We start from the raw sequence: 14579 nt of genomic DNA on the forward strand, positions 1-14579 counted from the left end.
AAGTCAGAATGAAGAAAATCTGTCACTGTTACAGAATTTGTGAGTATAGGTATGGCAAAAGGTACGCCAGTGGGAATTGCTGTCACAGGATGAGCTCCCAAGGAGAGTATTATAGACTTCTGGTGAGGCTTACAGTTAAATAGCCTGTATTTTCATTTAGAGGTTAGGCACTTAAATATATGTAATCAGCAAATTGCTTAATTTGTCCAAGTTTCCGTTTTTCTTTCCAGTACTACACAGTGGGATAGTCAGGATCAAATTAGTGTATTATCTATTACTTTGTAACAAATGACCCCAAAATTAAGTGGCTAAACTCTTAATTTCTCTGGTTTCTCTGGGTCAGGAATTCAGAAGCAGCTTCACTGGGCAGTTTTGATTTAGTGCCTAATGCGGTTGCAATTAGAAGCCACTGAGGCTACAGTCATCTGAAGGCTTGGCTGAGGCTGGCTGATTCACCTCCAAGATGGCTCACTCACAGAGCTGACAAGCCGATGCTGGCTGTTGGCAAGAGGCCTTAGTTTCTCTCCACATGGTTGCCTGAGTGAATTCATGACATGGCTGGCTTTCACCAGAGCAAATAATCCAAGCATGCCAGTCAACAGCATCCTTTTATGTTCTAGCCTCATAAATCACACTTCAGCCATATTCTATTGGTCACACAGAACAACCTGTTTCATTGTGGGAGAAGACCACACAACAGGATTAATACCGGAAGGCAAGGATCATCATGGCCATCTTACAAGCTGGCTAATACAGATGCATGGAAGTGCTTTAAACTGAAAAATGCTTTGCAAATGTGTAATGCTATTTTCTTTTTTTTTCTTTTGGTTCAAAGTGCTCAAATGATATTTTATATATACAGTATCTCACTGTCTCAGAATATCATCTAAACGCTGTCTTCATTATCCTATTTTAAATGTCCCAGAATGGGAATTTACTTGTCAGCAGCACGCTGTAATACACTGATTATCAACTCATACGCCATGGCACACTTGGGGACCTCAAGTCTCACAACGGCATCATCAGATTTAGCTCACTAGCTTCTCTCTCTCTCTTTTCTTCCTTTCTTCCCTTCTTTCTTTCTTTTGACGGAGTTTTCACTCTTGTTGCCCAGGCTGGAGTCCAATGGTGCTATCTCTGCTCACTGCAACCTCCGCCTCGCGGGTTCAAGTGATTCTTCTGCCTCAGCCTCCCTAGTAGCTGGGATTACAGGTGCCTGCCACCACACCCAACTAATTTTTGTATTTTTAGTGGAGATGGGGTTTCACCATGTTGGCCAGGCTGGTTTGGAACTCCTGACTTAAGGTGATCCACCTGCCTCGGCATCCCAAAGTGCTGGATTACAGGTGTGAGCCACTGCACCTGCCGCTCACTAGCTTATTTCTACAAGTGAGGTTAAATTATTATTTCAATGATACCTGTCAGAAGAAACTATGACAACAGCATCACTAGGTATGACTTGCCTCAAGAGAGATGGTGTCTTTTCTGCAATGTGTGAGTTTTGCCTAGACCCAAGTAATGACAAGGGACTGAAAGATAATGGCTAACATATAGTAAACACTTAACTGTCAAACATTATTCTAAGGGCTTTGCAGGTGTGAGGTCATTTAAGCCTTGGAACAATCCTTTGAGTAGATCCTATTAGGGATGAAGAAACTGGAAACAAAGTAAGTAATTTGCCCTAGTTGTATCTAGTGGCTGAATACTGATAGGGCCACTATTCAAATGCAAGCAGTCTGATTCCAGAGTTAAAAAAAATAACTAAATTATTGGCCTTGGTATTTTGCTACTTTCTTCAACATATCTCTGAAACTTAGGATTTTCAACTCTTAGAAATAACAAATATAGGCTGGGCGCAGTGGCTTACACTTACAAATACCAGCACTTTGGGAGGCCGAGGAGGGTGGATCACCTGAGGTCAGGAGATTGAGACCAGCCTGGCCAACAAGGTGAAACCCCGTCTCTACTAAAAATACAAAAATTAGCTGGGTGTGGTGGAGCAGGCCAGTAATCCCAGCTAATCGGGAAGCTGAGGCAGGAGAATCGCTTGAACCCAGGAGGCAGAGGTTGCAGTGAGCTCAGATCGGGCCAGCGTACTCCAGCCTGAGCAACAGAGTGAGACTGTCTCAAAAACAAACAAACAAACAAAGGCAGGGGGAGGGGGGCACATTTCCATGTTGACAGCTGCTCTGGCTCAGAAACTTTTAATTATCCACTAGTAGAGCCATCTGGATTACTGCAATAGTTCTCTAATAGGCCTTCTTTCTTTTTCTTGTCCCTCAAAATCTATAATATAGTCTCCCAACAGCAAGAGTGAACCTTTTAAAAGTGAGTCAGGTCATATCACTTGTCTGCTCCAATCCCTCCAGTGGGTTTTCAGTGATGACTTTCTTGTACCACCCTATTTAAAACCTCCATCCCTGCCCCTGCCCTGATTTGTTATCCTTTATCTGCTTTATTATCTCTATAGCACTTATCACCTATGTATCATAACACATATTTGACTTGTTTTTTTATCTCCTCCCATTGGAAGGCAGGGATCTTTGCTCCCTGCTATCTCAGATTCTACAATGGTGCTTGGCACATAGATAACACTCAATATCAGCATCCTAAGAGAGAGAAAAATGAAAAAGGAAAAGCACTCAATATGTTTTTGAATAAATGAATTAGTGTGTTTGTTATGACAATTTATGATAATCAAGGGGTTGGGTACTCATTACTGCTAAGTTAATTGAGCACTGTCTCAATTAATTGAGTTAATGTCTAAGCTTTCTGCATGTTTCATTTAATACCCACAATCTCCTGTGATGTAGTTCATTATTTTTTCCATTTTACCGAGTAGAAAACTGAGGACTAGAAGCTGATTCCCACAGCACGTTTCAGTTGAGTTGGATTTTGTTTTCCTGGGCCTGCTTCTTCATAAAGGGACTGGACTAAGAATACTCTTGACCAGCCCGTAAGAACTTGGCACTCGTCTCAGTAATCTGAGATAGCAGGGTTTGGCGTCCATAGCAACCACGGCGACAGGACGCGCTCGAGCAAGAACCAAAAAGCGAGAACAGGTACAAGGCCAAACTTTCTACATTCACAGACACCTACCAAACCCCGAACATGGAACACCAAATTAGAACGCTGACCAGTTCCTGGTAATGTAGAAAACACCCAAGTTAAAACGGCAACAGAGTGACACAGCAGCCATTGAAGATGCCCCACTTCAGGCACCGACAGGCGTCACGTGACGGGTGGGGAACGCCAACCGCCTGGGCCTAGCGCAGCTTCCTCCGCCCACCACGGAAGTGAGGCGGGGATACTAAAGCGACGGAGCCCGGTGGACGGAAGTGGGTGTTGGAGGCTTTAAGGTAGCTTTAAATTCGTGTTGTCCTGGGAGCTCGCCCTTTTCGGCTGGAGTCGGGCTTTACGGCGCCGGATGGCTCTGGACGTGAAGTCTCGGGCAAAGCGTTATGAGAAGCTGGACTTCCTTGGGGAGGGACAGGTGAGGCTCTCTGGAAGGACGGGGAGGGCCCCAAGCGGACAGCCCCGCGCCGCCTCCACCTTTGCGGGTTTTCCCGTGGAGGCCAGAGGTCTGGCTTGGCTGCTCGTTCTCGTTGGGGGAAACCGTCCAGACGCACTTGCTGCCCATTCTTTACATCCTGGGGGTGAATCCCTGAGGGGCCTCTCCTTGCTGAAGAGTAGCCTGGAGCTGGACGGAGACTGACCCGCCACGTTTCCAGCCGCCGCGAGTCTGCTCAGGAACTCTGGGCTCTTTGCTTCGCGAAATGTAAAAATGCAAAAAGGCAAACACAAAAACTCCCATAAACTTATGTTATTTCTATTTTTCTTTCTAGTTTGCCACCGTTTACAAGGCCAGAGATAAGAACACCAACCAAATTGTCGCCATTAAGAAAGTGAGTTACCTTTTTATGTTGTTTTTAAGTCTCCTTGAAGATGTCTGTATTATTAATTGACTGATAGCCATTTTATTAGTCTTGACCATACTCTGATAATGAGTTACTCATGTCATTTTCAGAGACAAAATAATTAATTAGTGCTTTGTGTTCCCAAACGGAACTCTAGGGTTGAACCCGTTTTAATTTCTATTGAAATGAAGAAGAAGCTGTATGTTATTTTTACTGCATAAATTCATATGTTGTGGGCAAGTACTGCCCATCTTTTCGGTCCTCAGAACTATTGGATACCATGATCTTTCTAGGTCACTGTTTATACCTCACCTGCATCCACTCAGTGTGTCGTATCTGTATTTTCTGTGTACGGATTTACCATGAAAGACTTTCACTAGCATGAACAACATTGATGTGAGGTCTAAAATGAGTTCAGTAGCTTCTTATATTCATTCAAAAGACCTGGGTCGGATTCAGTAGCTTCTTATATTCATTCAAAAGACTTGGGTCGGGCCAGCCGCGGTGGCTCACGCCTGTAATCCCAGCACTTTGGGAGGCCGAGGTGGGCGGATCACTTGGGGTCAAGAGATCCAGACCATCCTGGCCAACATGGTGAAACCCTGTCTCTACTAAAAATACAAATATTAGCTGGGTGTGGTGGCACCTGTCTGTAATCCCAGCTACTCGGGAGGCTGAGGCAGGAGAATCACTTGAACCTGGGAGGTGGAGGTTGTAATGAGCCGAGATGGTGCCACTGTGCTCCAGCCTGGTGACAGAGGGAGACTCCATCTTAAAAAAAAAAAAAAAAAGATTTGGGTCATAATTACATAACTCACGTTCACCTACATTGTTTCTTTTAACCTTCAAAACAATCTATAAAGTGGTTAAAAGTAACCCTATTTTATACTTGAGGTACCTGAGACTGAGTGACTAGGTGACTTGTCAAGATCACACAGCTAGTGATTGCTGAAGCTGGGATTTAAATCCAGGTGTCCTGATGTTGCTTTTGTTACCGTTGCTACTTTGAATCTGCTTCTCCTGCTTCAAAAACCCTAACTCCTTGGAAGTTATCCATATTTAACATTAATTCCCCCTTTTTTTGGTCATCTTCCAGCCTCCAAGTACTGTCTTGCATTCATTTAAAACCTGACTGACTACTTCTTCTCAATTATTCCTGCCATAATTTTTTTATTTTTTATTTTATTTTATTTTTTATTTTTTTTGAGACAGAATTTTGCTTGTTGCCCAGGCTGGAGTGCAATTGTGCGATTTCGGCTCACTGGAACCTCTGCCTCCCGGGTTCAAGCACTTCTCCTGTCTCAGCCTCTCCAGTAGCTGGGACTACAGGAACCTGCCACCACGCCCAGCTAATATTTGTATTTTTAGTAGAGACAGGGTTTCGCCATGTCGGCCAGGCTGGTCTCGAACTCCTGACCTCAGTTGATCCACCCACTTCGGCCTCCCAAAATGCTGGGATTACAGGTGTGAGCCACTGTGCCTGGCCTTCTTTTTTTTTTTTTTTTTTTTTTTTTAACTTTTTTACTTTTTTTATGTCCGTGTTTTCTGGTTTATGTTTTATGATCCACCACTACAGCCACTCCCTTTAAAACCCTTAACTCTACTGAATCTTTCTTCATCTTTCTTTCTTTTGTGGTGGCGGGGCAGGAGGAGGTCTCACTCTGTCGCCCAGGTGGAAGGGTTAGAGTGCAGTGGCACAGCCATAGCTCACTGCAGCCACCAACTCCTGGACTAAAGTAATCCTTCCACCCCAGCCTCCAAGGTAGCTGGGACTATAGACACATGCCACCAAGCCTGGCCTAGTCATCTTTTTAATTCTGTCTCTGGTTCACTATATCATAGCCACACTGACTTTTCTGTCCCTGTACAAATTAAATTTATTCCAGTCCCAGAATCACAGGATCATTGCATTTGGTCTGGCTTCTTGGTTGGTATATTTTCCGTCTAGAACATGGCATGGCTGATTCCTTATCATCCAGGCTTCACTCAAATGTCTCCTCCATAGAGGCCTTTGTTCATTCCAGCTACATGTATGCCTCCCTCCTTCCCTATGCTTTGCTATATTTCTGTCATCGATGTGGCATTTGTCGAAATTTGAAATCCTCCTATCTATGAGTTTATTGTCTGTTTAATTCCATTCACACTGTACCTAGGGCCATGGCTAGTACATTTGTAGACACTGTTAAAAATGTATTGGCCTTTCAGCTGGGCGCGGTGGCTCATGTTTGTAATACCAGCACTTTGGGAGCTCGAGGCAGGCGGATCACCTGAGGTCAGGAGTTCAAGACCAGCCTGGTCAACATGGCGAAACCCCTGTCTCTACTAAAATACAAAAATTAGCCAGGCATGGTGCCCCTGCTAGTCTCCTGGCCTCAAGTGATTGTCCTTGCCTAGGCCTCCCTAATTGCTGGGATTACACGTGTGAGTCACTATGCCTGGCCTATTTCTTGAGGTGTTTTTTCTCCCCCAGTTTTAGACGTTGTCTATACTTTCTACTATGAACATTGAGGATTTGGTGTTGTAGACCTTATTCCAACACTCATAATTTCTACTCCCGTTCATTTGCTAGGATGTGTTTAATTTTATAAAAAGGGAAGGAATCAATAAATAAGTTACTCTGTACTCATTCACCTGTTGAGTCTTGGACTTTAGAAATACTGATGTATCTCATCCTTTTAAAAAGATTATGTGGAATTTGTTTCCCAATTTATTTAACCAATCACCTATTGATGGCCTTTTGGGTTATATCTCATTTTTCAGTGTGTGTCTTAAATCTGTGTATCTCAAAACAATATATAGTATTGCATACTTTTTTTTTCCTTTTTTTTTTTTTTTGAGACAGCAACTTGCTGTGTGTTTCCCTGGCTGGAGTGTAGTGGTACAATCATAGCTCACTGAAGCCTTGACCTCCTGGTCTCAAGCATTCCATCTGCTTCAGCCTCCCAACCAGCTAGGAGTACAGGTGCATGCCACCGTGCCCCACTAAATTTGTTGTTCTTCTTGTAGAGACAGGGTCTCACTCTGTTGACTAGACTGGTCTTCAACTCCTGGGCTCAAGTGAACCTTCCACCTTAGCCTCCCAAAGTGCTGAGATTACAGGTGTGAGCCCCTGTACTCAGCCAGTATTGCATACTTTAAGCTATATATGTATATTTGGCATATTCTTCTGCAACTTGTTATTCTTTTTTTTTTATTTTATTTTTTTTTTTGAGACAAGGTCCCACTCTGTCGCACAGGCTGGAGTGCAGTGGCGTGATCTCGGCTCACTGCAACCTCCACCTCCCCAGGCTCAAGCAGTTCTCCTGCCGCAGCCTCTCAACTGCTGACCTCAACTGATCTGCCCACCTCGGCCTCCCAAAGTGCTGAGATTACAGGCTTGAGCCACCACACCCAGCCTGCAACTTGTTATTCTGAGTCAACATTATTTCCGAAATCCTCTATATCGTATGATACATGTAGATCCAGTTGATTCATGCTCGTTGATTATTAGATTCCATTATATGACTACACTGAAATTTTCTATCCAAACTCTCGTTGATAAACATTTAGGCTGCTTTTTAATGTTTTCCTTTAATACATTCCTTCTCTGGATAGTCATCTGTGAGTCATCTTGTATGCAGGTTTGAGTTTCTCTAGAGAATGTATCTATAATTGAAACAAATTATGAATTGATGCTTCAGAGTATCACAACCATCAGCTTTACCAGATATGGTCAAATTGCTCTCCAGAATGATTGGACCAGTTTACTGTCCCACCACATTCTCAACATCATTTGCATTGTCAGACTTTAAAACGTTTGTCAATTACGTAGATTGAAAATGGTATGTACTTATTGTTTCAATTAACATTTCTCTGATTACTGGTAAAGTTCATCATCTTTTCTTACACTTACTGGCTTCTTAGATTTTCTCCTGTTTTCTGTTGGATTACGTACTTTTTTTGTCCTATTGATTTATTGGACTTATTCATACTTTTTGTTTTTTTTAATAGAGACAAGGTTTCACTTTGTTGTCCAGTCTGGTATCAAACTCCTGGCCTTAAGCAATCCTCCAGCATCGGCCTCCCAAAGAGCTGGGATTACAGGTGTGAACCACAGCAACCAGCCAGAATTCTTTTATATTCTGGATATTGATCCTTTGTCAGAAATACACATTGCATATATCATTTCCCAGTCTTTGGCAAGGCTTTTAGTTTATTTATGGTATCTTTGAGGTACTGAAAGTTAAATTTTAATATGATTGAATTTGTTAATTTTTTTGAAATCTTTAAAGGCTTCCTTTTTATGTGCTTTCCTGTTTCTGGATTACAAAGAATTCTGTACTTGTAAAATTTTTAAAATATTGATTTTAATACTTAGATCTTTATTCCATCAACAAGTTTTTCCTTTGTTGTATGATATGAGGATCCAGTATTTTTTTTTTTTTTCAATAGAGACAGGGTCTTTCTATATTGGCCAGGCTGGTCTTGAACTCCTGGCCTCAAGCCATCCTCCTGCCTCAGTCTCCCAAAGTGCTTGGATTACAGGCATGAGACACTGTGCCTGGCTAAGATTGAGTATTTTTTCTTCAGTTGTCCCAGTACTATTAATAGTCTGTCCTTTTCCCAATGAGTTGTAATGCCAAATTCCCCATACCCTTGCAATACCAAGTTCCAGTATTGGAACTTGGGTCCAATTTCTGGGCACACTATTCTGTTCCAGTGGTGGGTTTGTTTGTTTTTTTTCCCATTGCTGTTGAAATATTACAGTGACTTTAAGAAGTCTTAAAATCTGTCAACTTCCATACACCTTGTTTTTCTTCTTCAAAATCATTTTGGCTACTCTATGAGACAGTTGGGAAATGTGAATCAGGAAAATTTGAATAGGAACTAGATATTAGATGCTACTGTGGCATTATTGTTAATTTTGTTAGGTGTCAAAATGGCATGGTTATGTAAGAATGTCTGTATTTTAGAGATGCTTACTTAAGTACGTTGGAGTGAAATGACATGAAGTCTGGGGTTTTAAAATATTTTAGGCAACAAAAAGGAGAGGTTGGATGAATGAAGTAAGTGTGGCAAAATATTGGTCACTGTTGAATCTGGGTGATGGAGTAGAGGGCTTTATGAAATTACTCTATTTTTTATTATGTGGGAAAATGTTAAGAATTTTAAAATCAACTGTTCTTAGCTCCTTCCTTTTTTGAGACGGAGTCTCCCTCTGTCGCCAGGCTGGAGTGCAATGGCGCGATCTCGGCTCACTGCAACCCCCGCCTCCCAGGTTCAAGCAGTTCTCCTGCCTCAGCCTCCCGAGTAGCTGGGATTACAGACACATGCCACCACACCCAGCTAATTTTTTGTATTTTTAGTAGAGACGGGGTTTCCATGTTGACCAGGATGGTCTCTATCTCCTGACCTCAAGTGATCTGCCTGCCTTGGCCTCCCAAAGTGCTGGGATTACAGGTGTGAGCCACCGCACCTGGCCTCTTTTATTTTTGAATGGTACTCTTTGTGTATATGCACCACATTTTCTTTATTCATTCATTTGTTGACAGACGCATAGATTGCCTCCAAATCTTGGCTATTCTGAATAGTGCTGCAATAAACATGGGAGTTCAGATATCTCTTGGACATACAGATTCTGTTGGCATATATACATAGCAATGGAATTGCTAGATCAAATGATAGTTCTATTTTTAGTTTTTTGAGGAACCTCCAAACTGTCCTCCATAGTGGTTGTACTAATTTACATTCCCACCAACAATGTACCTAGGGTTCCCTTTTCTCCACATCCCTCACCAGGATTCATCCTTATCTTTTGGATAAAAGCCATTTAAACTTAGGTGAGATGCTCTCTCATTGTAGGTTTTTTCTTTTTTTTTTTTTTTTTTTTTTTTGAGACGGAGTCTTGCTCTGTCACCCAGGCTGGAGTGCAGTGGCGCAATCTCGGTTTACTGCAACCTCCGCCTCCTGGGTTCAAGCAATTCTCCTGCCTCAGCCTCCTGAGTAGCTGGGATTACAGGTGCACACTGCATCACCACACCCGGCTAATTTTTGTATTTTTAGTAGAGACGTGGTTTCACCTTGTTGGCCAGGCTGGTCTCGAACTCCTGACCACGTGATCCGCCTGCCTCAGCCTCCCAAAGTGCTGGGATTACAGACATGAGCCAACGGGCCCGGCCCTCATTGTAGTTTTCATTTGCATTTTTCTGATGCTCAGTGATGTTGGCACCTTTTCTTATGCTGTCTGCCATTTGTATGTCTTCTTTTGAGAAATACCTACTCAGATCTTTCGCCCATTTTTAAATTGGATTATTAGATTTTTTTCATATAGAGTTGTTTGAGCTTCTTATATATTCTGGATATTAATCTCTTATCAGATGGATAGTTTGCAAATATTTTCTCTCATTCTGTGGGTTTTCTCTTCACTGTGTTGTTTCCTTTGCTCTGCAGAAGCATCTTAACTTGATGTGATCCCATTTGTCCATTTTTGCATTGGTTGCCTGTGCTTGTGGGGTATTACTCTAGAACTCTACCCAGTCCAATGTTCTGGAGAGGTTTTCCACTGTTTTCTTTTAGTAGTTTCATAGTTTGAAGTCTTCAACTTAAGTCTTTAATCCATTTTGATTTGATTTTTGTATATGATGAGAGATATGGGTCTAGTTTCATTCTTCTGCATATGGATATCCAATTTTCCCAGCACCACTTATTTATTTTGTTTGCAACAAAGAAAGAGTTTAATTGTCACAGGGCCAACCAAGTGAGGAAGACAGTAGATAATTCTCAAATCTGCCTCCCTGAGAATTCGGGGGCTAGGGTTTTTCAAGGATAGTTTGGTAGGCAGTGGGCTAAGGAATGGGGAATGCTGATTGGTTGGGTCTTGGATAAAATTGTAGAGAGTTGAAACTGTCTTCTTGCCCTGACTCAGTTCCTAAGTAGTGGTCACAGAACCAGTTGAGTCAGTTTCTTCATATGGGCTCCTGGTCCAAGTGGCACCAGTTGGTCCATCAAAATGCAAGGTCTGAAAGATACCCCAACCACCAGTTTTACGTTTTACAATAGTGATGTTATCTATAGGAGCAATTGTGGAGGTTGCAAAATTCTTGTTACTTTTGGCTACATAACTCCTAAACAATAATTCTAACCTCGTGTAATTTTACAAAGATGCTTTTAGTCTCTGAGCAAGGAGTGGGTTAATTTTGGGAAAGGACTGTTAATCATCTTTGTTTTAAAGCTAAACTTTAAACTGAATTTCTCCCATAGTTAGCATTGCCAACACTCAGGAATGAGCAAAGAGCTTGTGAGATTAAAAGCAAAGATAGGGCCAGGCGCAGTGGCTCATGTCTGTAATCCCAGCACTTTGGGAGGCGGAGGCAGGCGGATCACCTGAGGTTGGGAGTTTGAGACCAGCCTGACCAACATGGGGAAACCCTGTCTCTACTAAAAATACAAAATTATCCGGGCGTGGTGGTGCATGCCTGTAATTCCAGCTACTCTGCAGGCTGAGGCAGGAGAATTGCTTGAACCCAGGAGGTGGAGGTTGCAGTAAGCTGAGATTGCACCTTTGCACTCCAGCCTGGGCAACAAGAGCAAAAACTGTGTCTCAAAAAAAAAGCAAAGATGGAGTCAGCTATATCACGTTTTACTCACTGTTGTAATTTTTGCAAAGGTGGTTTCAAAAATATGCCTTTTTGGCATGTTGATTGTTGTGAGCTGGTTATCCTGAGAAACTGCAGATACAGGAGTAGTTCTGAAAAGTTGCCCTTTTTTAAGGGAAGTGTACGTTTGTAAAGGAGTATCTCTTTGACAGGGTGTCTCCCTCTCTGCACCAGGAAGAGAAGAAAGACTAGAAAGACTAAATCTCTAGAGACTGTCAATGCAGAAGGCATCAACTTAAGTCTGTACAGCAAACCTAACCTCTGCTTAAGGCACAGCACCATTTATTGAAGAAACTGTCTTTTCCTCATTGTATGTTATTGGCACCATTGTTGAAAATGAGTTTGCTGTAGATGTATGGATTTTTTTCTGGGTTCTCTATTCTGTTCCATTGGTCTGTGTGTCTGTTTTTATGCCAATATCATGCTGTTTTGGTTATTATAGCTTTGTTGTATGAAGTCGGGTAATGTGATTCCTCCCTTTTGTTCTTTTTTCTTAGGATAGCTTTGGCTATTCTGGGTCTTTGTGGTTCTACACAAATTTTAGGATTGTTTTTCCTATTTCCATGACGAATGTCATTGGTATATTGATAGAGATTACATTGAATCTATAGATTGCTTTAGGTTGTATGGACATTTTAACAATATTGATTCTTCCAATCCATGAATATGAATTATCTTTCCATTTTTTTGGTGTGTTGTCTTCAATTTCTTTCACCAATGATAGTTGTTTTTTTTTTTTTTTTTTTTTTTTGAGATGGAGTCTCGCACTGTTGCCTGGGCTGGAGTTCAATGGTGCAATCTCAGCTCACTGCAACCTGTGCCTCCCGGGTTTGCGCCATTCTCCTGCCTCAGCTTCCTGAGTACCTGGGATTACAGGCGCATACCACCACAGCTGGCTAATTTTTTGTATTTTTAGTAGAGACGGGGTTTCACTATGTTGGCCAGACTAGTCTTGAACTCCTGACCTCGTGATCCGCCTGCCTTGGCCTCCCAAAATGCGGGGATTACAGGCGTGAGCCACCATACCCGTTCAGTAGTTTTTATTTTAGAGATCTTTCACTTAATTTGGTTAATTCCTAGATATTTAATTTTATTTGTAGCTGTTGTGAATGGGATTACTTTCTTGATTTCTTTTTCAGATTGTTCACTGTGGGCATATAGCAGGGCTACTGATTTTTGTATGTTGATTTTTGTATCCTGCAACTTTTGTGAATTATCAGTTCTAGTCGTTTTTTGGTGGAGTCTTTAGGTTTTCCCAAATATAAGATCATATTGTCACCAGGTGTGGTGGCTCATGCCTGTAATACCAGCACTTTAGGAGGCCGAGGTGGGCGGATCACCTGACCAACATGGAGAAACCTCGTCTCTACTAAAAGTACAAAAAAAATTAGCCAGGCATGATGGCGCATGCCTGTAATCCCAGCTACTTGGGAGGCTGAGGAGGGAGAATTGCTTGAACCTGGGCGGTGGAGGTTGTGGTGAGCCAAGATCACACCATTGCACTCCAGCCTGGGCAACAAGAGCAAAACTCCGTCTCAAAAAAAAAAAAAAAAAAAAAGATCATATCGTCTACAAACAAGAAGAATTTCACTTCTTTGCTTGCTCTTGCTAGGACTTCCAGTACTATATTGAATAACAGTGGTGAAAGTGGGCATTCTTGGTGTGTTCAAGCTCTTAAAGGAAATCAGTTTTTCCCCATTCTGTATACTGACCATGGGTCTGTAGTATATGGCTTTTATTATGTTGAGATATGTTCTTCTATACCCAGTTTTTTAAGAGTTTTTATCATGAAGGGATGTTAGATTTTATCAAATGCTTTTTCAGCATCAATTGAAATGATTATATAGTTTCTGTCCTTCATTTGTTGATATTACATATCACGTTGATTGATTATAGCATATGTTGAACCATCCTTGCATCCCCAGGATAAATCCCACTTGGTCATGATGATCTTTTTACGTATTGTTGAATTCAGTTTGCTAGTATTTTTTGAGGATTTTTACATGAATGTACATCAGGATATTGGCCTGTAGTTTTCTTACTTTGATGTGTCTTTGTCTGATTTTGGTATCAGGGTAATACTGGCCCCATAGAATGAGTTTGGAAGTATTTACTTCTCTGTTTTTTTGGAATAGTTTGAGTAGTATTGGTATTAGCCCCCTCCCCTCCCCCGTCCTCCCTCCTTTTCCCCTCCCTTCCCCCTCCCCTTCCCCCTCCCCTTCCCCTCCCTTACCCTACCCTCTTATTTTTTTAATTTTTTTTTTCTCGCTCTATCGCCTACCCAGGCCCTGGAGTGCAGTGGCGTCATCTCAGCTCATTGCAACCTCCACCTCCTGGGTTCAAGTATTCTCCTGCCTCAGCCTCCCAAGTAGCTGGGATTACAGGCATGCACCACCACGCCTGGCTACTTTTTATATTTTTAGTAGCGATGGGGTTTCACTATATTGCCCAGGCTGGTCTCGAACTCCTGACCTCAAGTGATCGGCCTGCCTCAGCCTCCTAAAGTGCTGGGATAGCCACTGTGCCCAGCCTAGCCCTTCTTCAAATGTTTGGTAAAATTCAGCATTGAAGCCATCAGGTCTTGGGCTTTTTGCTGGGAGATTTTTTATTATGGCATCAATCTCATTACTTGTTACTGGCCTGTTTAGGTTTTCAGTTTTTTCATGGTTCAATCTTGGTAGGTTGTTTGTGTCTAGGAATGTATCTGTTTCTTCTAGGTTTTCCAGTTTCTTGGCGTATAGTTACTCATAGTAGCCACTAATTATCCTTTGGATTTCTGCGGTATTGGTTGTAGTGTCCCCTTTTTTCACATCTGTTTTTATTTATTTGCATCTTCTCTCCTTTTCTTTTAGTCTAAAGGTTGGGTAAGTTTTTTAGTGGTCAGGGTTTTTATTGGGACTGGTCATGCAGGCATTTTCTGCCTGGCATGTACCAAAAATCCAGACTTAATCATGGCGAAAGGTGAAAGGGAAGCAAGGCACCTCTTATGGTGGCAGGAGAGATTTTTTTTTCTAGAGCAGGAGTGGAA

The 14579-nt window shown here is 42.1% G+C and overlaps 1 protein-coding gene across 12 annotated transcripts in view, besides 2 other annotated features; it reads left to right on the forward strand.

The window, feature by feature from the left end:
• Nucleotides 3060-3588: an enhancer, noted in NCBI's record as "H3K27ac hESC enhancer chr5:68530435-68530963 (GRCh37/hg19 assembly coordinates)". NCBI's record gives its function as "activates a minimal SCP1, AML or CMV promoter by ChIP-STARR-seq in naive H9 embryonic stem cells {active_cell/tissue: H9 hESC(naive)}" and the evidence as "EXISTENCE:reporter gene assay evidence [ECO:0000049][PMID:30033119]".
• Nucleotides 3247-14579, forward strand: part of CDK7 (cyclin dependent kinase 7) — a 42636-nt gene continuing 31303 nt past the window's right edge. For 8 of the 12 annotated variants that reach the window (NR_136690.2, NM_001324069.2, NM_001799.4 and 5 more), the window contains exons 1-2: nt 3338-3493; nt 3846-3905. Coding sequence is in view for 3 of the 12 variants with exons in the window: in NM_001799.4 (NP_001790.1) it covers nt 3428-3493; nt 3846-3905 (126 nt within the window). In the remaining 9 variants the exon portion in view is untranslated. Of the gene's footprint in view, nt 3494-3845; nt 3906-14579 lie in introns of all 12 variants that reach the window. The other 4 variants (NM_001324077.1, NM_001324072.1, XM_047416609.1 and 1 more) reach the window with 1 other exon arrangement.
• Nucleotides 5300-5800: an enhancer, noted in NCBI's record as "H3K4me1 hESC enhancer chr5:68532675-68533175 (GRCh37/hg19 assembly coordinates)". NCBI's record gives its function as "activates a minimal SCP1, AML or CMV promoter by ChIP-STARR-seq in naive H9 embryonic stem cells {active_cell/tissue: H9 hESC(naive)}" and the evidence as "EXISTENCE:reporter gene assay evidence [ECO:0000049][PMID:30033119]".

The sequence above is a fragment of the Homo sapiens genome, chromosome 5, assembly GCF_000001405.40.
Source record: "Homo sapiens chromosome 5, GRCh38.p14 Primary Assembly".
NCBI lineage: Eukaryota > Metazoa > Chordata > Mammalia > Primates > Hominidae > Homo > Homo sapiens.